This window comes from Homo sapiens, chromosome 6 (genome assembly GCF_000001405.40).
Source record: "Homo sapiens chromosome 6, GRCh38.p14 Primary Assembly".
In the NCBI taxonomy this organism is placed as follows: Eukaryota; Metazoa; Chordata; class Mammalia; order Primates; family Hominidae; genus Homo; species Homo sapiens.
In genome coordinates, this window is record NC_000006.12 from 119,860,202 (window position 1) to 119,884,834 (window position 24,633).

General features: G+C 35.7%; 1 long non-coding RNA gene across 1 annotated transcript; it reads left to right on the top strand.

Moving 5' to 3' along the window:
* Positions 1-7,148: 7,148 nt before the first annotated feature.
* Positions 7,149-23,927, top strand: LOC124901390 (uncharacterized). Its single transcript, XR_007059730.1, has 2 exons — positions 7,149-19,310; positions 20,371-23,927. It is a non-coding gene; the product is annotated as an uncharacterized LOC124901390 (long non-coding RNA).
* Positions 23,928-24,633: the final 706 nt, after the last annotated feature.

Sequence of the window (24,633 nt, forward strand, 5' to 3'; positions counted from 1 at the left end):
ATCATGATTGTATTTATTTGTTTTCTTTATACCAATGTAATCGGAGCAAATCAAGACTTAAAAGGTTATACTGTACATAACAGAGCAGAATTTTTTAGAAAATTTCTACCCATTCACTAATTAATTCAGTCAATTTTTCAATTGGTCATTCATTTATGAAATATTTATTGTATATAATCTGTGAAATAAGAATTGTAGTATGGCTGTGAAGAGTGTCAACAAGACAGAAAAGGCTTCTTACTTTATGGAATTTAAATCTTCATGGGAAAGACAGACAATAAGTAAGCAAATATATAAATAGGATTAATTATAGATTATGATAACTAATACTGTGAAGTTTATAAACAATTGATACGGCTGAGAGTACTTGGAGGGAGGTGTGGTTTCTTTAGACAGAATGAACAGGAAAGACCTGTGAAGGCAGGTCACATTTGAGAATTGAAAGATGAGAAGGAGTCATATCTATCTCCCCATATTTCTACTCTTTATGGAAACTGAAATACCTTCATTTGCTATTATGGTTTTCCTTCTGTCCTCCAAGCGAAAATAAATAAAACTAAAATAAAATATCCCTCTCCCAATCAACCCATGATGAATCTCTACTCAATATATAACTCTAGCTCCTTCAGAAATCTCTGGTTACTCCTTTCTGCCTTTTTCCAGGTGTATTCTCCAGTTACTGCCATATCCTTTCCGGTATAGTTCAACTTAATGTCTCCTGCTACCTCCCTATCTTTATCTTTTCCACAGTTCAGCCCAGCTCGACAAAGGGCCTAGAGCTGAATAGCTCAGTATGAAACTAAAGAGATTTCCTAAGTTGTTACGGTGAGGGAAAAGGTGTAAGACTTACATTTTAATAAAGTTTTTGACTGTGTTATAATTTACCCTTTATCAAAAAGGACTATAATGTATACTTTGACACCCAGCATCCCTTTTCATCTAAATCTCAATCTTTTGAAGTTCTATTCCTTCTACTGGGTTTGTGCGTTTGTGTTTCTGTTGCTTTTGCCCTTGTTCTTTCTGATTCAAACTGATTGTGCTCAGTTTCTATGCAATCAGAGAGGATAATTGATGTTTTCATTGATTACTTTTTTTCTGAGGTATTATATGCCAACAAATGTTTGACCTTGCCATTAAGTGAAACAAACATAGATGTTGCTACCTCCCAAAGTTCTTAGATGACTTAGGTTTGTTAAAGTATCTTTTCCTACATCTAGGTTCTGATGTGATTCAGGGAATTAGTAGTGCTAAATGGCCAGAGACGCCATCAATCATCAATCCCTATGAATAGAATATAAGTTAGGAGACATAATCCATACACTGGCACCAGGTTGGTTCTGAAAATCTCTTTATAGCAAGTGAATAAATGTTTCTATCCGTGTCCATGAGGACCTGTTCATTTAAGGATTCTTTCTTTTTATGTTTTCTTTCCTATATCAGCTTTCCTGGCCCCCATGGCTGCCCTGACACCTCTATCCAGAAGCCTTCTATTTGCGTTTATCCCTGAGGGCTGCCACAGGAACCTACTTTTCCTCCTCTGTAGTTACATTCACTGGCCTTGAGGGTACAGGTGGCCTCTTACGATTCTGGAAAAAAGTCTTAAGTTTGAATGGAAACTTTTGGCTTTAAATATATCTTGTACTGACTTGATCCAGACATTCCTCTTTTGCAAACTCTCCTCTGGGTGATATGGTTTGGCTGTGTCCCCACCCAAATCTCATCTTGAATTGTAATCGCCATAATCCCCATGTGTCGTGGAAGAGAACTGGTGGGAGGTAATTGAATCATGGGGGTGGTTTCCCCCATGTTGTTCTTGTGATAGCGGGTGAATTCTCATGAGATCTGATTGTTTTATAAATGTCTGGCATCTCACCTGCTGACACTCACTCTCTCTCTCCTGCCACCTAGTAAAGAGGTATCTTCCCCTCTGATTGTAAGTTTCTTGAGGACCCCCCAGCCATGCAAAACTGTGAGTCAGTTAAACCTCTTTTCTTTTTGAATTACCCAATCTCAGGTATTTCTTCATAGCAGCATGAGAATTATCTAATACATTGGTACAACTGTGTGATGTGCTATTAAAGACCCTGGATCTCAACACTGTGCAGAAAACTTCTTGCCCTTCTCTTACACATGTTTATAAATTGATCCTGTAAACTCCCTGTCTTGCTCTGCATTCTTTTTATGACGAACAGGCATTCAGTCATGGATATGGAAGCCTACAGCTCTGAATCCTGAAATTATTCTTAATGCAAAGCCTACATTATCTATCATTACCCCTTTTAATCTCTGTTAATTTTCAGCACCTTAGAATTGTCACTGTTGTAGTATTTCAGTAACACATTCCTTTTTCCAGCCTTGAATTTAATTTATGAAAACTACTCCAGTTTCTTTAGGGAAGAATTTTTTCAGCCCTCTGAGGTCTCCAAGCACCAGTGAATCAGATCTTAGCCTGTGGGTCCAGGAAAGGACCCTAAAACAATTCAATTGTGCCTGCCACAGACCTCTTCTTTTTTATAGAAAAGACTCAAATGTTTCAATAAATTATGTGTGTGTAGATGTGGCTTAAATACTAATTTCTATCCTGTAATCTCATGAGAGCTTTCTTAGACTTTCACAGTCTGGCAATCTCACATAGTTCTAAGGCTCTCTATTCCATTTGATATATCCAGTTACAGATCAGGCACTCTTCTAGTGTCAGAGTAATTTTTATAGTTTGCTTCTTATCTTACTGGGGTAATCCAATTATGACTTGTACCTGCTCTGGCTTGTCTGTCAAATTCAGCAACCTGACTGTCATGATGAAAGTGGCAGTCTTGGCTCATCAGAGGTGCAGCTTTAAGTCTTTTTTTTTCATGACTTTAAAAGTCATCGCAACATGTTGTGGCATTAAAAAAAAGATGTTTGTTCTAAAGAAGCTAAAGAGAAATTCTGTATTTTGGGGGTACTCAGAGTTGGAGTAGGTAATTATATTGTATATTAGGTAGTATAATACCTAAATACTTCTTCCTCAAAGTCCCATTTCTCATCAAAGCTGCCCAAATCTCAACTTCCCTGTTTGCTTATCTTCTCTCTACCTTGCAAATAAAAATCAGAAACACACTAATCTCTTCCCTCACAACTCCTTCCTTACTGTAGCTCAGCTCCTCCAATATTGATTCTTGTCACTTATACCCCTTATTCAGTTACCACTAAAAATCTCTTTTCCATATCTCCATAAACTTTTTTTAACTTCAGTCAATTTAACCATTTTCTGATTTTCCTAATTTCCTTTCCAAGCCCGATAGCCTCCTCCTGGCTGAAGTGTTTTCAAAGGATCAAAGACAGTAGTGCCTTAGGCTGTGGATCCTTACAATTTGATCTTTTTTTGACTTTATCATATTAATACAAATTTCTTAACTCTAAAATAACTTACAAATATTTAAAAAAATGATACTGAGATACACTCAAGTCACTAATGAAAACTCTTGACACTCAGCCCTTAATAGACTTCCTAATTTCCTTCTTAACATATGTAAAGCAGATCAAATTAAACACTCTTGACATTTAAACTCCTAAAACAAAACAAGAAGCCAATTTATACTTCACTCAGAATAAGAAAAAAAAAAGTCCCAGATGTAGCCTGTCTCCCTCCCCTTTAGCCCTGCAGCAGGGTCTTATGGATGAGACACTTCACAGGAAAAGATCAAAGCAGGCTGCTGTGTTCACTGGATGTAACACATGGTAGAGGCCAGGTTAGTGAGGTTGTCACATTCTGGTCTTAAAGGTGGCTTGAGGGTGAACCTGAGTCCAGTTGGTAACTATCCTATGTAAGAGCAGGACTCAATCTCAGCAAGCACCTCCAATATAAATACAACTCCTTCTCTGTATTATTCCTGAGATCTTATGATCTAATGATCATTTTTATAACATCAGAGATAGAAAAACGTCTTGTACAAGCCAATATGTAAGTACTTTGGCCCTCTAACTCCAGAATATTTTCTTAATCAAGATTGTCTCATTAATCCTTTATAAACCAGAAATAAAACTCTAAGCCCCCAAACTGACTAAATGGACCCCTATCTCAGCCAAGAGGATTCCCAAGAAACCTGAAAAACAAGTTCAGGCCATGAAAGGAAGCAGGGATCAGACATGCCTCATTATACCCTCTCTGATTCAGACTTTAGACACAACTGACCCACATTAACATTAAAACAGAGATTTTAATACTGACAAACCAGACTTTTTGTAGCAGTAAGATGCCAAATTCCAACCTGACTCTAGTATAACATCACATGACAGATAAAGAAGAAAATCAGAATATTTTACTTAGAATATAGTCCTTTGCCATATTTTGAAATGGCTCTTTGCATATGTAAAGAATCTCTATTAAGATAACTAGATCCTCCCCCTTTCAGACCCTCCCAATCCTGAAGAGATTAACTAAGAGCCTGGTACCTTCTAAGGTCTGATAAGATACATTTACTATCTGTTCTCTTTGAAGCCTGCTACCTGGAAGTTTCTATATAACAAGAACCTTGGCTTGCACAACTCCCTTTATCGTCACCTCAAGAATTTCTTTCTGCTAACTTCAACTTTAGGCAAAACTTAACTCTTAACCATTTGGTAATTTGGAAATCTCTGAATTCACCTATGATCTGAAATTACTCCCCTCTCCCTGCTTAAAGATGTCCCACCTTTCCAGTCCAAACCCATGTGTACTTCACATGTATTGATTGATATGTTTCCCTAAAATGTATAAAACCAAGATGTCACCCCACCACCTTGGGCACATGTTCTCAGGATCTCTTGAGGCTGTGTCATGGGTCATGGCCCTCACAGTTGGCTCAGAATAAATATCTTCAAACATTTTACAGAGTTTGGCTTCTTTATGGTCAACACTTCTGTTATACCTATATTGATATAAGTTACCTTACTTTACTACCCCATTTAGTTTGGTTAGTACAGGACCATTGGTTGCATATTGACACAGGATATCCAAGACACAAATTTTCAGTGATTGGTTGTTTCAGGTACATTGTCATTTTTATGATTTTATATTTAGAAGAGAACGTGTTAGTGACAAAATTTATAAAAAAGATATCACACCCAAGACATATAATAGTCATACAAAGAAAGATGAACATGGTAAGGATGATTTATGTGATAAAATATATTTTAACCAAAATTAAGGTGTATCACAAATAATTAAAATCAATATTTTGAAAGACTTGTCAGATTTGGTTTTACCAGGCATAATTGTAGAACCTCAGAAAGGAAGGGAGTGAAATAGTCATGTGAACATCCACTAGTTAAGAGCTATAACACTGAATAACATTTAAAATAAACAAAACAACTATATGAAGACAGTGGAAAGCATTTTAAAAGACCCCAGAAGCTAGGAGACAGTTAAACTCATAAAACTACAACTGGAATGGGTAAGAAGTTTGAGTCTGTTGCTTCCTGACTTGAGTGTGTCATCCTCCCCCAGGGCAAAACTGTCTAAATTGGCAACAGGCTAAATGTGCCAGAGATCAAAGTTCAAAACTGGAAAAACAACTAAAAATTTATAGGAGAAATCCTGAACAGTATGAGAAGCAAGGAGACCCAATTTCTGAACATAAACTGTCCACATATTTGTCAGAAAGCTAAATAACTTAAGTATAGGGGAGCCCTCAGGAGGCATGATGGGAAATCAGCCAGAGACCAGAGATAAATATATCCTTGAAACATGGGGTGTCACAGAATCAGATCTTTGAATTTGATAATTTTCATAACTGGCTGTATTCCTGAACCATGCCCAGTTCAGTCAGCAGAAAGTTTGAAGTGTCAGCGTACACAGCCCAAAGTCAACAGAGCACTTGAAAATTAAGAGATACCCTGGAAGCAAGGGAAAACAGGAAGCATAAGCCCCATATCTGCTTAAATCTTCAGCTTACTGACAAATTTTTCAGGCATGAGGTGGTCCACAGAAAGCTAGGAAAAAAACGCACCAGTGGGAAGGCATTAGAATAAAGTATCCGTATTAGCAGCTGCATACTGCCAGATCTGGAGGGTGGTTGAGTGGAGCAAGTGGAGTGGAAGACTAGAGGGTGGCAACAGAATTTGCAATTTGATTCCACACAAATTAACTGTCTACTGAAACAGAAGAGGATAATTCTTAGGAGAACATGATAAAATTTTGAGTCACTACAATATATTATCTGCAGAATCTGGGTTTTCAACCAGAAATCAAGTGTCAAAAAAATAGCTATATGTGAAAAATAACCGGGAAAATAAAAGCAGTCAATATAAACTGAATCCAAAAAACCTAGATATTGGATTAGGCAGATCGAGCCTTCAAAGCATATAATTATTTTAAAAGAATTAAAAGAAAATATTTTCAAAGTACTAAATAAAAATATGACCTTAATGAACAAACAGATGGGATAGAGAAATGACAATTAACTAAAACATATAAATTAGAGTGGAAAAGTAGAATTAATGAAATTTTAAAAATGAGTTGATGGTTTCAACATCAGATTGCAGATGACATAAGAAAGAATTGGTGAGCTTGAAGATAGATCAATAGAAACTATAAAATTTAAAGAAGAAATAGAAAAATGAATAAAGAAAAATAAAGTGAATCTTAAGATCTGTGGGAAAATATGAAGTGGTCATATGAAATGGTACAACATATATATCATTTAAATCCTAAAAAGAGAGACAAGAAAGGAAAAAAAAAGCAAAAAAAAAAGGAAAAAAAAGATGCAAGACAGTTCAAATTTGATGGAAAACATTGACCTACTAATCCAAGAAGTTCAAAGAACTTCATGCAAGTTAAACACAAAAAAATAAACCTGCAGACACATCATCATCAAATTACTACAAGCAGCCAAGCATGGTGGCCCATGCCTGTAATCCCAGCACTTTGGAAGCTGAGGTGGGAAGATCACTTGAGGCCGGGAGTTCGCTACCAGCCTGGCCAGCATGGCAAAACTCCACCTCTACTAAAAATACGAAAGTTAGCTGGGTGTGGTGGCACACACCTATAATCCCAGCTACTCAGGAGGCTCAGGCAAGAGAATCACTTGAACATGGAAGGCAGAGTTTGCAGTGAGCCAATATTGCACCACTGCTCTCCAGCCTTGGTGACAGAGTGTGACTCTGTCTGAAAAAGAAAAAAAATTGCTAAAAGCTAAAATAAGTAGAAAATCTTGAAAGCACCTAGAGAAAAATAACACATTAGCTATTAGGGAAAAAGGTAAGATTCATGCTTGACTTCTCATCAGATTATGAAAGCCCAAAGACATTAGAAAAGTGTATTTAAAATGCAGAAGGAAAATAAAATCAACCTATATCCAGTGAAGCTATCCTTCAAAATAAAAATGGAATAATAAATTCAGATTAAAAAGGTTAGAGAATATATTGCCATTAGATCTCTATTACGAAGAACAATGACTAAAGAAAGTTAATTCATATTTGAAGAGAAATAATACTAGATAGCAATGTGGATCTATAGGAATGACACAGTCACAGAAGACTACATACTATATGATTCACTTATGTAAATTTATATTTCTATCAATCATACAGTATGGCTGGAAAGCCATAGCTATAAAACTTAACTAATGAAACTTAGTCAATAGCTTGTAGTGGCATGTAGTGAGCCATAGAAAGGGCAAAGACATAGTGATGGAAAGCACATCAATGAGCCAGAGTAGGGTGAGAATTGATGATAAAGGAACATGAGGAAAACGTCAGTGATAAAAATGTTGAATTTGGTGATAGTTACATAAGTGTATACATTTGTCAAAACTCATTCAATTGTGCAGTTAAAATTAGATAAGTTTAATTTTACATAAATGACAGAAAACATAGGACCTAAATCAGAAAGAGCCTTACTAGGTCACTGGCTAAAACCTGATGAGCAAGGTTCTATTATAATATGTAAATATATATATATTTAATGTATACGTATATGTAAATATTTTAGTAAGTTGAATTTTGCATTATTTATACAACATACATATATCATTAGACATTTTTTAAATAAGGTAATATGATTTGAAATATTTATCTTGCAATATCCATTTAAACCTGAGCATAATGGTTTGCTACACAAAATTATGTTAATACCAGCTAATAGAACTTCGTTGATAGCCTATAGTAGCATTTAGTGAGGAGGATGGACTTTGGTGCTAGATACACATGGGTTTGAATCCCACTTCTCTCCTTAATTGCTGTTTTACCTTGGATAAATTATTCAACTTCTCTGAGTTTCAGTTGACTCAGTTGTTGAATAAAAATGCTACTATCTGTTTCATAGGGATGTTATAAGGATAAGATGAAAAAAGGTATGTAAATTGCTTATTGCAGTGCCTAGCAGAGAGTTTTTATGCAATAAATATTACCTATTTCATTATTTGTTGTACCAGAATATTTTAATCAATGTATAAAATAGTTTAGTTGAAGCAATGAATTACCACAATGGCTACTGGTAAATAATAAAATAATATTATGCCCCTAGAAAAATACTTATGAATAAGGGAGAACAATCAGAAACAGATTAAATAAAAATACACTGGCATTGGAAGAATGTATTTGATTCATATGAATCTTTTTATTTAGGGTCCTCAGCAATAGTTTCTATCCCTTTTCTAACAATCTACTTTCCTAAAAAGGTCTATTTAACTTTGCATCTCTCTCCCTCTCTCTTTCTCTCTCTCTCTCCCTCTCTCTCACTTTCTCTCTCTTCTATTTTCTCTCTTTTTCCTGGCATATATTCATTTCCTCCCTATATCAATTTCTTTGTTTCTCTTAGCTGCATGTTTTTCTTCATTCACCTGAGTGTGTAGGTAAGCCTTTTCCTTTGTTGGATTTGTGGTAATTTTCTAATATATTCCTCCTCTTACAGTTCATTCTCTGATTTTTTCAAAACACCCTCCCAGAATTGTCCTAAGGTGATGTGTAACCTGTGAAAACCTCATATTCACATACACCTTACACTTCACTCTAAAGGTCAAGGTAACATTTACCTGAGAGGAAGTGAAAATAACATCCACGTAAATGTTGGAAGGGAAAATCACCTGGCAATAAAGACTTGGTTGAGGCATCCTCTTAGGAGACAGGTCCATTGTGAAAAAAAATTAATAAAATAAAAAGTGGTCTTTGGGGATCTTGGAAAAAAGCTGGGCAACATTGGAAAGAAAATGGTAAGAGTTCAAAACAAGAAGCCTGAAGTAATAAATTCACTCACAAATGATTATAGACGAGGACTCAAGGGAGGAGAAGAATGTGCTATTCGAACACTGAAGATTGTGGATTCCATGGAACACTGGCAAAGAGTAATCAGTTTTTCATTCATGAGTGACCTGGAGATATTTACTGATGGAAAGAGTGAGTTGGATGACTTTGAGGAGAATGGTTTATCTTGAGGCTGAAAAGGGTTTAGATTTAAAGTCTTTGCAGGAAAAAAACACACTTGTACTTTCCAGCTCTCTGGCATTCAAGAGAATGAGGCAGAGCTAGATAAATGAAAAGGAGAGAGACAGAGCTCAAGAGAATGAGACAGAGCTAAATAAATGAAAAGCAGAGAGACGGAGCTCAAGAGAATGAGACAGAGCGAAATAAATGAAGAGAAAAGAGGAGAAATGAAAGTATCCTACATTTTGAAGGCTAAAGATGGATAGATAATGAATTATTAAGGAAAAACAAACCTGTATAATAGGTTTGGGCTAGATAAATAATAAGTGAAAACAAATATACATTCAGAAGATACTTTAAATTTTTTTTAATATGCTATAGACTAATAGAGTAATGTTGGACTGAATGTGTGGTTTGTGCAGTAAAGTTTCCTCACTTTGGGGTAATGTGTACTAACAATTGCTGACTATCTACCTCATGCCTCTTCTGACAAACTTTTAGTTTCACATCTTATTTGTCTACTGCAATATAGTACCATCTAGAACAAAACATATTTCAATCCTATTTTTTCTTTTCCTGTTACAATCAACCCTGTCTGAAAGAAAATGAGATTTTTACTTTTCCTAAAAGTAAAATAGACTGCTTTAAGATTAACAGCAGCCTTGCCTCTGTCTGAAACTAACTCTTGCAACTGACCTAGAGAATGTGAAGAAAACAAAAGCAAGCAAACAAACATAATACCTGCAATTGTTCAGAACAAGATCAATGAAAAATTTTAAACATTTTCTTGAAGGGAAAGGATTAAATCAACATTTAAAGGCTGCTCTTTTCCTGTCTTCTCTTTTTCTACCTATCGTCTTTCCTTAAGAATAGCCTAAAGCTTTCTCATACTCGAGAAAACAGATACAAGAAATTTATTTTCTTTCTCAAATCCAATAGCTTTGTCCCTGTGGTTTCTACATTTTCTGCTGTCTGTCTCTGTATTAGTATCCCCCTACTGCATTAAACTCCACCCTGGCTAGAGGATCATTTCTCATCCAAGAACAAAACACTGTTTTTACTATCTTACTTTTTGATTGATACAACCCCATCGGCTATTTCCCTCGTCTCCCATTTGTTTGTCTTCTCTTCCCCTCATCCTCCTTCAGTGTTTGAACCATTAGTCAACATTTTTCTTCATTCTACCAATTCTGAAAAAAGTGTTGTTTGAAAACTTCTTCCTCCCCTATGATTCTACTATTTTTATTAATGTTTGCATTTCAGCCCAAGATTAAACAACTCTCTAAGCACTGATAAAATATCAGAGATCTGCAGTTAGAACCAACTTATGACCTTAAGAAATACCTGCCATAATGGAAAAGAACAAGATGAGTTAAAGGAAGGTTTTAATAATAAATACAATGGGACCCACGGCCAGTTGGAGACAAAATTGCGAAGCATATAAAGTTTACCTTTCTTCTGTCCCCTCCACCATTTTCTGCCCTCAGAGTCTGTGTGTGTTCCCACGCCACAAGATTCTTGTTTACCGGAGTCACCATATATGCCAGCACTTCCTGGTCTGTGTGTCTGGTTTATATATGACCCCTCTGGTTACCTCCATGAAACTCATCTCTGCAGTATAAATGGCACAGGCAAAGTGTTAGAAATTGATTGCAATCCACTTTAACAAGTTTACATTGAAATGTCAATGATGGATAGCTCAGCATAAGGTGCTAGGGATATTTTCATTTTAAACGATGAAAACATTAGAACCTAGATAACTTTCTGATTTTCAGGTAGAATTATGGACTTAAGTTATAACTAGCCAGGAGACATGTTAGTTAGTAGGAGATAGAGGGAACTTCCTGCTCCTGAATTACACTACTACATGTCTACTGATAAGCGAGATCAGGGATATTAAAATCCCAAATGACAACAACAATAAAATGTTGAGTGCCAGTGCAACACTACAGGGAGTTTATAAATAAAGCAAAAATAAACCCACAAAGACAGTTCTATTTTGGGTAGCACAGAAAGATAAGAATAGAGGCAAGATGAATATGTAAGATGCACGTATACCAAGCAGCAGGCACACATAACGTAATGATTGCTGTTTCCCAACTCTCAGAAGCCTGCCTGACTGAAAACTGATCACTCATTGCTCTCCTGGGCTTTTTCCTTTCTTAGCAGCTCTGCAGTGTTGTCCCTGTGAGTTCTGTACCAAAGTGAGGTGATGGTCTCAAGCAGGCTAAGAAAGTTTTGTTATTTTATTTCCTCCATCCCTTTCTTTTTTTCTTCCTTCTCTTCTCTGCCTTTACAAAGAAAAATGTTAAAAAAGGAGGGGTGGTGGAGGGGAGGATGTGAGGTTTTGATGAAGAATTCTGAATCTGTTTGGAAGAGGGTCATGGAAATCCTCTGACTGGGATAGGTGTGGGTACAATAAGGCTGTGCTGAGCATACTGAGCTAGTTTAATTGAGTTTGTTCAGTATTGGTGGAAACATTCTTTTTTCTTTTAATTTGTTTCTGCCTTGTTAATCTATTTCTGATTTCTCCAAACTATACACATGGAGGTATGCTATCTTCCTTCTGTCCTCGGGGAAGGAAAAGGGCGTGCTGTTTGCAAGTTATGCCTGTGCTCCTGTGTGTCACGACCCTTTTGGAGAGTCCGTTCAGGTTAGTGGTGTTTGCAAAGTTTTCTTGTCTCTGAAACCTACTCAGTGTCTCTAGAGTCTCCTGCTGAAAGAGGAAAACACTGTAACACATCATAGTGGGCTGCTTATTAGAAAACACAACTCTCATAGCAAATGACTTTTCTATGAAGTATAATAAATCATACACTTGGTAATAAGTAGAAAGTGTTAGCCATTGGAACGATCCTTTTCCTCTTGTCAAGATTAGGGCAATTAGATAGTCCATATGGATTTTCAAATTAAATATCTGCTCTGATTATGCTGCTTTAAAATATTTTATTTGAAGTAATAGATTGTTTGGTTATAAAGGCTGATATTTGTAGTGTACCAGGCTTCTTAAAAGAGCAAATTTTACTTCCCTATTTTTTAAATTTGTAAGTGAGTCAAAGACTTGGATTTAATTCATTATGTTCTCCCTCAAATATCTACCCTGCCTCTACCAGTTATTATAAGTCCAACCAAATACATTATAACCCCAAATTTAACCTTTCTCTGTTAAATTTGTTTAACTTCCCTGTTAAATGTGTTTAACCTGTTTGTAAGATATTTTAGTTGCTCATGACTGTTTAATATGCATTCTATATAAACAAGGAATTAAAAATGAAATGCTTTCAGCTCATGGTACTGTGAACATTTTTACCCTACTTTTCCTTATTGAGTAACGTTTCGTACTGCTTTTACTGCATCAACATAGTTGAAATTCAGATACAGAAATACTCATACTACCAGATTTAAACTTTGATTCCACTGGGGACTTCATTAGTAGGTGTCTTCTTCAGTTCAAAGGCAGCACTTGAGAGTTTTAAGACCCTCTAGTTTACTAATTAGCTTACCCCAAGGGCTGTTTTTAACATCGCTCAAACCTTTTTAACTTTTATTGATATGGGCATTTGCACATAACTGTTTTCAGTTTAATGTGTCCAGATCTCTAGTCACATTCAGGGACAAGTACTTTAGAACAAGTTGGAAATCCTGTTTAATGATTTTTTTTGTCATATTTATGTATATTTGCTTATGAGCAAATAATTTGTTTTGACTTACCTTTTATCTGACTAAGCATATTCTCTTTGTTGCTATTCCCTTAAGCCTTTAGATTACATAAATTAACTACATAATTACATAGATTAACTACATAAAGGTAAATTCATCATGAATTGGTAAATTGTGAAGTTAATCCTACCTAGTGGGAACTAATAAAAATAGAAAACTGACATTAATCTGTATTTATCAGAAGATATTCTAGGGATTAGTGTGCTCTCATGGCAGGTAAATATGTGATTAGTTTTATAAATGCAGCTGCCTTATTCTGTTTTCTGTAAATGATTACAATAAAATGTTTTGTTTAAATTATTTTATGTGAAGTTATGGCCAAGTTTTATCAGGAATCAGGAAAAAGCAACTGACATTAATTTATTGTTGACATTAAATTTACACTATAATACCACATAAGATGATTTCAAACCTTCTCATCATCTCCACTGAAACCACCAGAGTCCAAGTGCAATAGTGTCATAACCCCTCTTGGCTCCCTATAGTCCATCCCCTCATGCCACACACCATCATCCCCATCCCCATTATTCTCAGGGCTACAGCAAATTTTTTATGAATTAAGTTTGGCTGTGTCCTTCCCTTATTTAAAATTCCTCAATATTTTCTAATTGCATTTAGGAAAAAGAGCCATCATTGTTAATATATTGTTAAATCAATTTCACTTTGGCTTGAGGTTGCCTCTGTACCTTGAGTTGCTGTGTGGCAAACTGTAACCTAACTTAGTATTTAAACAAGCCAAAATCTAATTTAGAAGTATAACTAAATAAGTATAAACAAAATCTAATTAGAAGTATAATTTAGAAGTCAAAGAAGATCTTCCTTCTCTAATGTGTGTGTAAATATATAACATTTAATTATATGTTTCTTTGTGTAACTTAGTTTAATATTTGTCTTCCACATAATAATGCAGGCTCTATGAGGACAGAGGTCATTGTCTCTTTTATTAACTTCCGCATGTGAATACTTAGAATACTGTCACATAATTTATCAATACCTGTTTGTTGCTTCAATAAGTGAATAAAATATGGTATTGGATTTTTTGAGTTATTTTCAAATTTATTTAGTCTTCTTAGTGGTCTAGTCTTTAATGCAAAAATTAGCTTTCTTTTATAACCAAAATCTCTTCATTATTCTATTTCACATGAAAAAAAATTCTGAGCATCCTTGGAGGAAACGTACACTAGCGAGTATTTATATGCATGAAATATGGTTGGCAGAGAATACTGCATTTAACCCGTGAACTGATGAGTAATATTTGTGTTATGTTCTACATATATGACACAATAAATATGTGATACAAAAGAATCTAATCCTCAGCTGAAAAGGACATTCAGACCATGAAGTTTACTCGTCTCTTTAGACAATTCCAGGTTGTTGAAATAATGCAATTCAGTGTAGTTGTGAAATCTTTCTATGAAGAATAACCCATGGCTTTCTTCTACAAAAGATTTTTTATATTTTTCTCTTATAAAATACTTTTATACCTAGTCTACATGTTTCTATTTAGTAGTGTTAGAATGGAGCTAATCACAAGTTTCTAAATTTATGTTCTCTCAATTATGATGATAAAGTCATAAGATTAATTTCCTTGCATGGCTCCTTAAGTAACTCGGAAAATATTTTCTGAGGGTGGGATTTTAAAATAGTGTCTAAATGATACAAGTTGCAATAAATTGCTTTGAAAGAAAAAAATCATTTACGCATGTATGCTTACATGTTTCTTAGAAAACACTGGTTCCAAGTTCTGTTTCAATGGAATTTCTATACATTTAATGAAATAAAATATTCTGGAATCAAAGAGCAATTCTTGATGACTAAGAATAATATTTTTTTTCCAGATTTGTTAGGTTCTATGGTGTTGATCAAATTTTTTTCCAAAGCAATACATTATAAGGATATGATTGGTTACACTTTCTTATTCAAAATTCTGACTATGTGATATTGCCAGGCAGCTTCCTTTTTCACATAGATTAGTTTGATTCTACCAATCCCTTTCCGAGAAAATTGCCAATTGCATTTCATACCCATTCACTTGCCTTATGGATTGCATTTGTGGTTGATAGTCTATTAAATTACTGTGCAGATTGGATTCAGGCCAGTGGTTAAAATATTTCTATTAGACTTCAACAGCATACGTGTATCTCTTACAAATTCACATAACTTTCTCATCATTCTCAGTGTTTGATTCTGTCCAGAGAGGTTGAATTGGGTGCGACTCAATTTCACAGGTGCACATCAGCCAGTGGCTTTTCTGAGCTGAGTGTTTGATAACAGAGAGCAGTACCCATAGTCAGTGCAGAGGTTTGTGCATCATGACCAGCTTGCTATCAAAAGAGCCTTATGTCTCACATAAGTTACATGTTGTCAATAGAGAAATTTCCCTTTACTTTAATTATTAACTCCAAGAAATGTACATTTTTATTATTTATTATGGGTATTTGTAATGTGATTATTTCATCTGTGCCTTTTGTTGACCTTTTGAAAAAGGTAGCATGTGTTTGTTCCCTACCTTATTTAGACTAAAAACATCTGTCCCTACTTCATGACAAATAGCAGTCATGCTATCATTTTAAGAATCAAGAAACAGCTATGGATCAGTTTCAAGGATCAGTTTTATTTAGAAGTGACATATTTAACTCTGTTTATGCTTGCTTTTATTTTTGATTTCCTGAAAATCGCATGCGTTTTCTGAAAATGTCTGATAGAAACAGTAAGATGACGTCTTCCTTCTGTTATTTAATTGGCAAACAATATTTGCTCTTGGGATTCCTCATGCTGTGATACTGAACTGACTCTCTTAAATTTGATCTGTAATTCTCAGGGGATTGTAGAGACGTAGTAATGAAGTATGACAAAAGTTTCTGGGTTGGTACTATCAATCACTAATTATTATTTTGAAACTTTGAGAAGGCCGTGAAGTTAGTGAGAGCTTGTTATTCAGGGTGAATAATGTATCATAGTTGACTCCTTCCTCATTTGGCTGTTCTTGGATTCCATTTAGCGTTTGGCCTTCCCTTCCAAGGTGTGATGGTTAATTTTATGTGTCAGCTAGACTTGTCTAAGATATGGCCAGATAGCTGGTAAAAGATTATTTCTGGGTGTGTCTGTGAGGGTGTTTTCAGAAGAGATTAGCATTTGAACCAGTGGACTGAGAAAAGAAGATCTTCCTTCTCTAATGTGTGTGCGCATCATACAATTCATCGAGGACACTAATAGAACAAAAGGGAAAGGAAAGGAAGATTTATTTTCTCTATTCTTGATCTGGGACATTCATCTTCTCTTGCCCTTGGACATTGGAGCTACTGATTCTCAGGCTTTTAGACTCTGAGACTTTGCAGTCCAACTACATTAGGAAATTGTCTTAAGGCAGATGCCTTAAGGTAAATGGAAAATGAAGACATTGGTCTGAGTTTATCAGAGAAAGTATTTTGTGGCAATGGATTTTAAGCATTTTTAATAATGATCCAAGAGACTTATTTTTTCAGTTTGAGTTAGTGAAAATTCTATGATTTTCTTTCAAGGAAAGTCTAAAATTTCTTTTCCTGTGTCCCAGGGGAAGAAGAGAAGTCAGTATTAGTTTATACATATTATTTTAAAATGGGCTTTATTCAATGTACTTTATAGATCTATAATTTTGAAAAATGGCTTTCATTCCATTTTTACACCTAAAACATATTTATAAATTAGGGGATTTTTTTGTTGGTATTTCTGGAATCAAACCTAATTTATATCCATCCTAAATCAAATATATTTTATACTCAGAATGAGAATATTTGCCCTGAAATCTTACAGTACTCACTAGTCTTTTTTAAAAAAGCATATTAGTCTAGCAATCTAATTTAGGCAATGCCTGTTGAACAGAGTCAACTAACTCCAGTTTTGGTATAAAAATGCAGAATTGAGTATAAAATGAGCATACACAGTTAAAAATGGCAGGTAATATATGTCCTGTGACCACATGTTCTTTAATGTAATCATAGTCAGGACCTTAGGCTTTTTGTAAAATGATCTAACTTTGGAGAATATACTTTATCAAGAGAAAGAAGGTGCTGTGTTTGAGAAATGAATTGTTTTTTCGGTGTCCTGAATCTGTTGTTAATACATTGAAAGGTGATCTTTCTTTAGCATTGCCTCCAGTGTAATCAACTGAGGCATGTGAATGATGAATACCCACTAATTGTCCACTTACAATTGACAAATAGTATACACATTATAAGTCTTGGCAAGAAAATAAGTCTCATCCATTCAAATTTTACCAATGAAGATGTGTAAAGAAGAAAACAAAACCCTGTACTGAAGAAATGCTACAGCTGCAAATATTTGACTGACACTTGAATTTGCCATTGTATTTTGGTATTTCTTATCTATTAATTCAAAAATATTTATAGAGATCTATTTATTTGAGGCCCTGTCTGAGGTGATGAAGAATGCAAAAAAGATCTTTCTGATTCTATTATTTTTCTTACAGCCAATCAAGGAGTTATATGCTGTCATTTAAAGCAGCTTGAAATAATATTCCTACAGATACCTAGGAATAGCCTATATTAAATTTATTTCTGATTTTATTCAAATATCTAACAAATTTTTCTTTCTTATGTTCACCTTGATTTCCAAATGAAGGGGAGTTAGCAGACTTGGAAAACTGCAAGAGGAGAAGAGTAAGAGGACTCTCAAAACATTAAGATTCTATTGAAGCAAATGTGAATGTTTATTAATTGTCACATTCTTTTGAAGCCTTGAAGCCCAGTAGCAAAAAGCATAGGCGTTGACTGTGATTAAAATTTCATGGCACCATTTAACCGGATAAGAGAAGGACCTAAGGTGGGAGAGCTACACTCATGAGGTATACGGAAGAAAAAGGATAAAATCTAATATTGTTAAATGTGAATAACATCTGTTTTTAACAAAGGATGGTAATAATAATAGTGATAACAAGAACAATAATAGTAGCAGTTAATATTTTTTAAGTTCTTATGTTATCATTGTAAGTCCTTTACATGTATTATCTCAGCTAATTCATATAATAACTATATAACTACTATTAGTGTCATAATATGAACAGAGAAGCAAACTTAGGCACAAATCAATTGAGTATCCTCCAAAGATCGTCCATTTATTAAGTGTTCTGAGACTAAATCATTCTGCCTTTGAAGGAGAAGAATGCATTTGAATGTTTCCATACCACTTCAAAAAGCAAAACTTGCTTTGAAGAATAGTTTATTCTTTCTAGAGAACCATTTACCATTACTTTGGAAAAAAACAACATGTGTTTAATACCAATAATTTGTAAGACTCTAGATTTTATGTTAGAATAATTTATAGACTGTATGCCAAGGAGCTGAACAAAGGAGATGTTAAATTATCAATCCCCTAAAAACTGGTGACTGAATGAGGTATGATTCCTGTCTCACTTTGAGTTACATTGATCTAAGATACCTTTTGTGCCATAAGAACTCACCACAGAGTTCTCTTCTAAAGCACAAAAGCATATCACTACAGCATAGGTTTGATTTATGCAGGATGATGTAGAATAAAGAAAATTGCATTGAGATTTCTGTGACCTGATTTCTAATCTTGGCTCTGCTGATATGATCATGTGCAAGTCACTACGTCTCCCTAGCCCTTAGTTTAGTCATCTATAAAAGGAAGGGGTTAATTAGAGATTTCTAAGACCTACCCCTAGCTTTAAAATGTTATGACTCCATGATTCCTTCTCTTAAACACAATAGAAGCCAGTGAAAAATCAAAAGAGGATTATCTTCCATAACTTCCCACCCTTTTAATAAGGTTGGAAATTGCATTGAGGATATCAGAACAACTAGTAGCAGTGTATTTGGAATGTTTCAGTTCTGTCAGCTTTTTTTGTGAGTGAATCAGGTTAAAACATTTATTTTTAACATACGGATTTACCATAAATGCTTTCAATATGAAATCACTTAATTTAGTTGATTAACAGGAACTCACTAAAAATCAACAATTTAATCTTTCATTTATTGTGTATCTAAGGCACAACAACATGTACTAAGTGATAAAAAGATGAATCAAGCCTGTTATAAATGCATAATAACTGCCAATTACTGGGCACTGCAACATTCTAATTGTTTTGTAGGTACTAGGTCACTGATTCTCAACAGCATCTCTGTACCAGTCACACTGGCCTTATAGAACAAATGAGTGACCTGAGATATTACAGCTTGTAAGAGGTGAAGGTGAGAATGGAACCCCTGTCTGGCTGTAAATCTTGTGTTCTGTTTGTTATAACACATTGCCTCTCCTAAATAGCTGAAGATCAGTTTTCCCTCCTTCATCATCAGGGGTCCTGAGACATCACTGATGAATTCAGCCTAATTACTGTCATGTATAATTACAGTTTTTATGGTAAAATTTAAAAGTAAATTTATCAAAACAGCCATATAAAGGTTATGATCTGAGGAGTATTATTTTAGGTTGAAGGAGAGATCAGTCAAGGAGAGTCAGTCATTCATTTCCAGACAGCTGGCTTCATGAATTCCTCCTACTCGCCTTAGTGTGAGTCCATCTGTGTCTGTTGAGATGACTGTTTTAAATCTCCCATTTTCCAGGTCAACTGTTATATCACAATCCAAAGGAAGTTGTCTGACTCCATAATGTGACTTAGCAGAGAGCATCATGAAATATTCTGTGAGACACATATGGTTTGAAGGTTGTAGGATGAATATCACTGTGAGATTTTGGATCCAGTGATATTGAAAAAAACCTGTTTTTCTCAATTCCATGTGTTTTCAAAGATTAGAACAAGAATGTTTGGTTTCCAAGCTGGCTATAAGAAAGTGATTGCCTGATGTTCTCCAACTTAACCAAATCATGCAACAAAAATGAAAAAGCCCAGAAGTAAAACAATTTCATAAATTGCACCTATGGGGAAATTTGTACCTAAAGGAAAGGACTCAATTCTCCTTACTTAAATTAGCTGTTAATGCAACCTTAATAAACATCTTTTCCACTGATATCACTGAGTAGGCTGCTTGAATACAGATCAGAAACAAAGCACTGCTTTCTTATTATTTCCTTCAAAACAGTAATGAAGTTAAATAAACTCACCAGTTTTGTTTGTTTGTTTCTATTGGGAAAATACATTTTTTGAATAATACTGTTACAGTTCAGTTTCAGAAAGGAAGCAATCATTTTGTTTAGAATTATCATAAATCTATGCTAGTTGCATAGGATATTCTCAATTTTGGTCAAAATGGAGTCCTCAAGCCATTTAACTGACACTGTCGGCTGTTACAGGAGGGGAACTACTTGAGCAAAAGGCCCAGTGGATTTGAGCCAAGTTCCAGAAGAGCAATGAGAATATCATAACCTCTCAGGAGGTGAGAGCCATTCGGAGGAAGGCTAAAAACTTAGGCTGCCCAGCTCCTTTTCTGATACAGGATATAGTCTTGGAAAAACCTGCGTTCTCTGTTAATATTCTGATTCTCTATTTAATATGTAGTTTTTGAACTTCGAATCCTGATTAAACTAGTAAATCTGTTAATGAAAGGCTATGGGATATACAGCATCCTGATACATTTGTTACAAAAAAAATGCTTTGAAAGAAAAAATTGTTACCAGCTAGAAAAACATATAAACAGTCTATAAACCATTATGAAAGTTATCTCCCTTAGCCCTTTCAGGAGTAATTTCTACACCTGCTCAACCTCTTCACACTGTTAGGCTAAGAGAACACAATGTATATCATCATCATGTTCACTCAGAGATGAATCATGTAAAATTGAGCAGGTTGCTGAGTGGGTCAGGACATGATGCATTTCTTTTAGGCCTGTTGCTTTATTTCCTTCAGAGCCTTTTTATTTGAACAAATTGCTGCTCTGTAAGGTGGATTTAAGGAATTAAGATGATTGAAGCTGCATAATCAGACTAAGGACAGATTTAAGGAAATTACCTTTTCTTCTTGCTGAAGTCTAGATTAATGAGGAAAGACACACTATTCCCATTACATTATTAGAATACCTAGGCAGATCCTTATCCTGGTTTCTGTATTCCAATTTCAAGCTTGCTTCGCCTTTTAAAACTCCCTTAGCCATTTTAACTCTTCATATTCAAAAGATAACCCCAAAAGTTACTTCACAAATAATTAGGGATATTCAATGAGAAGATTCTCAGCTACCTATAGCCACCATATCCTAAAGCTCCTTTCATTTGGCCTCAATAGTGAGGTGCACTTCCAACCAAATCCTATTCTCCTGCCTCCTCCAGGACTCTGCTCTGCCATCTGCCCTCTTTCTGTTTTGGATCTTCTTTCTCTCCTCTAGTTCCAGCCTCTCTTTCTGCACTGGCTTTCTCCTTCAGCGTGCACAGATGATTCATATGATACAGTCACATGTTCCAGAGCCACATCCAGAGACAAAACAAAAGAAAAACAAAAGGAAAGCTTTTTTCTTTGACTCTGGATCTGCCTCTAGCTATACTTTATTTCTCTTTTCTTTTTCTAAACCAAGCAGTTTGGATGAATTGCCTGAACATGCTGCCTCATTTTTATATGGTTGTTAACTTCATTAAGCTATAATGCAGCATGGTGCATAGATCTTAAGTATACAGTTTGATGGGATTTGACTAATTTATACACTTAAATAACCACTACTCCATTCAAGATATAAAGCATTTCCATCATCCCTGGAAGTTTCTTCATGCCCCTTTTCAGTAAATCTTTGGCCTGCTTTTCTCCGCACTTGTCTGATTTCTATACAGGTACATTATATATTCCCTGTCTTTTTTTTTGTCTTCAAGTTTTTCCAACAACCTCAAACTTAGAAACTTTTCGTAAACACAGTGCAAAAAAACGTTTTCACGAATCATTTAAAATTGCCAACCGGTTACCCCCTCAAATCTGAATATTTTAGTGTGTTTTTCCTCCAGCAAAGACGTTTTCCTACTGGACCGCAAAGCAGTTATCAGAATCTGGACATTAGCACTGAAGCAACACTAACAACTAATTCTCAGGATCCAATTAATTTTCACCCGTAAATGTCCCTCATTGCAAGAGGAACCAGTTCAGAATCACACACTGCATTCAGTTATAGGTCTTGTTAGCCTCCTTTAATCTGGAACCAGTCCTCAGTCTTTCCAGACTTTCCTTACAGTGGCATCTTTGAAAAGTACAGGTCAAATATTTTATAAATTGTTTTGCAAATTTATTTGGCATTTTCTCATGAGTAGATTCAAATTACACATTATAGGTAAGACAATCCCAGGAGTGATATTGTGTTCTGCTCATTGCATCCTGTCAGGTGGCTTATGACATTAATTTGTCCCTTTATTAATAATGCTCACAATGATCACTTAATTAAGATGCCACCTTTCAGGCTTTTCCACTGTAAATTACTCTTGGTCCCTTTGCAATTAGTAAATATTTCATGGGGGTGGTAATTTAAATCTATGTAAATATCTCATTTCTTACCAAATTTTTAGATTACATGTGTTTGTCTGTTCTTGCACTACTATGAAGAAATACCTGAGTCTGTGTAATTTATAAAGAAAAAAAGTTTAATTGGCTCACGGTTCCACAGGCTATACAGGAAGCATGATGCTGGTGTCTGCTCAGCTTCTGGGGAGAACTCAGGAAACTTACAATCATGGCAGAAGGCAAAGAGGAAGCAAGTGCATCTTACATGGCTGGAGCAAGATCGTGAGAGAGTGGGGAGGTGCTGCACACTTTTAAACAACCAAATCTCGTTGTTTTGCCACAACACCATCAAGGAGAATGATGTTAAACCATGAGAAACCACCCCTAGACCCACCAGGCCCTACCTCCAACACTGGGGATTACAGTTTGACAGGAGATTTGGGTGGGGACACAGATCCAAGCCATATCATTACATATTTCTTTATTTCTGTTTGTATAAACTCTGGTTTTCTATTTTATTAAATAAATTAAAATCCATTACTATTATTGTCTATTCTGATACTCAAATTGGCAAAGATTTGACCAGGGCCAGCTCCTTTGTGCTGGCTTCTTTGTCCTCTTGACATGTCTTTACTCTTTGATACTTATTTTATGGCATAACGGAAGATTCAGACTCAACTCTTAGTTTTTTTGCCCCATGCCTGGAATCAAATATTTCTACTAGGAACCTTGGTTCTTTTAAAAGGAAAATGTTTTTTAGTATGCAAAATCTGGTTACACTCATGACTATGTATGCAACACTGCTTCCAGGCTCTCTCAATGGATAGGACTAGGGAATATATGCAAGTTCACAAACACACACACACACACACTCACTTGCATCTATATTTATAACTCTCTCCATATATACTGGAAACCATAAGTTCACACTGAAATTTCCAATTCCAATCTAACACCACAGAGTTCATTCTAGTTTTCTCTATTTCTAGATTTGTAACTCCCTTCTCTGACAGTGAAAAACAGGCTCCCATTATTCTAAATATTTTTACTTATTTGATGAATTTTCCTGTATGTAACTGATCTCATTCCTGCCACTGCCCTCTTCCCCCAAGAATATCCTTCTGCTAAGGTATAGCAAAGATTATGTGCTGGAAACTTAATGCCCAATGCAATAGTGTTGAGAGGTGGGATGTTTATGAGGTGATTAAGTCATGAGGGCTCTTCCCTCATGAATGAATTAATGCTGATATAATGAGAATGGGTTCTTGAGAAGAAGGATGAGTCTGGTCTCCTTCCTCTCGTTCTTTCCCTCTGTTGCCTTTCTATCTTCTGCTATGGGATGACACAGCATGAAGGCCCTCCCTATATGCCAGTGCCATGCTCTTGGACTTTCCAGTCTTCAGAATTTTAAGCCAAATAAACTTATACTGTTTATAAATTACTCAGTGTGTGGCATTCTGTTATATCACCACAAAATGAATGAAGATACCTCCTTAACACCACTCACAGTGACTCTGATAAATCTGTGCCAGGCTACCACTACCATGTGCTTTTCACCACAATAGGGCTCTGAGATCCCATGCAAGGCACTTCCTCCACCAGCAGGGTCCCCTTCTTACCTCAGCTTGACCTCCTTTATCCTGTGCTGGCTGCTGTCACCCTTCCTGAGTGGATACTTTCCTTCTTTTGCCTGTACCCTGACACTTTGTGCTGGGCCTCCGTGCTGGGGTAGAACACTTCTTCTCTTTGCCTGGGCCCACTAAACCCATGATCAGCCATCTTCCCTAATTCCTGACATGGGTGTTCTCTTTCCCTTTCTTGACCTTGACACTCTGAACCTCGGTGTTCCTCATGCCCTTAGTGTACTGTAGCTATCTTCCCATCACTATCCTCACCCCACAGAGGCTCTGACACACTGCACTAGCCCATTGCAGTCTAACCCCACCCAATCCTTAGGCTGATGCCTTTCTTGCTTGACCCTAATGAGAAGATTTTGGATTAAGTTGTTCAGAAAGGGAAAGGAAAGGAAGGGAACTGTTACTGACAAAGTTGTTCTCCCCTCTTCCACACACACCCCCCCAGTTCATATGTTGAAGCCCTAACCCTCAATGTGACTGTATGGAGATAGGGCCTTTGAAAAGGTAATG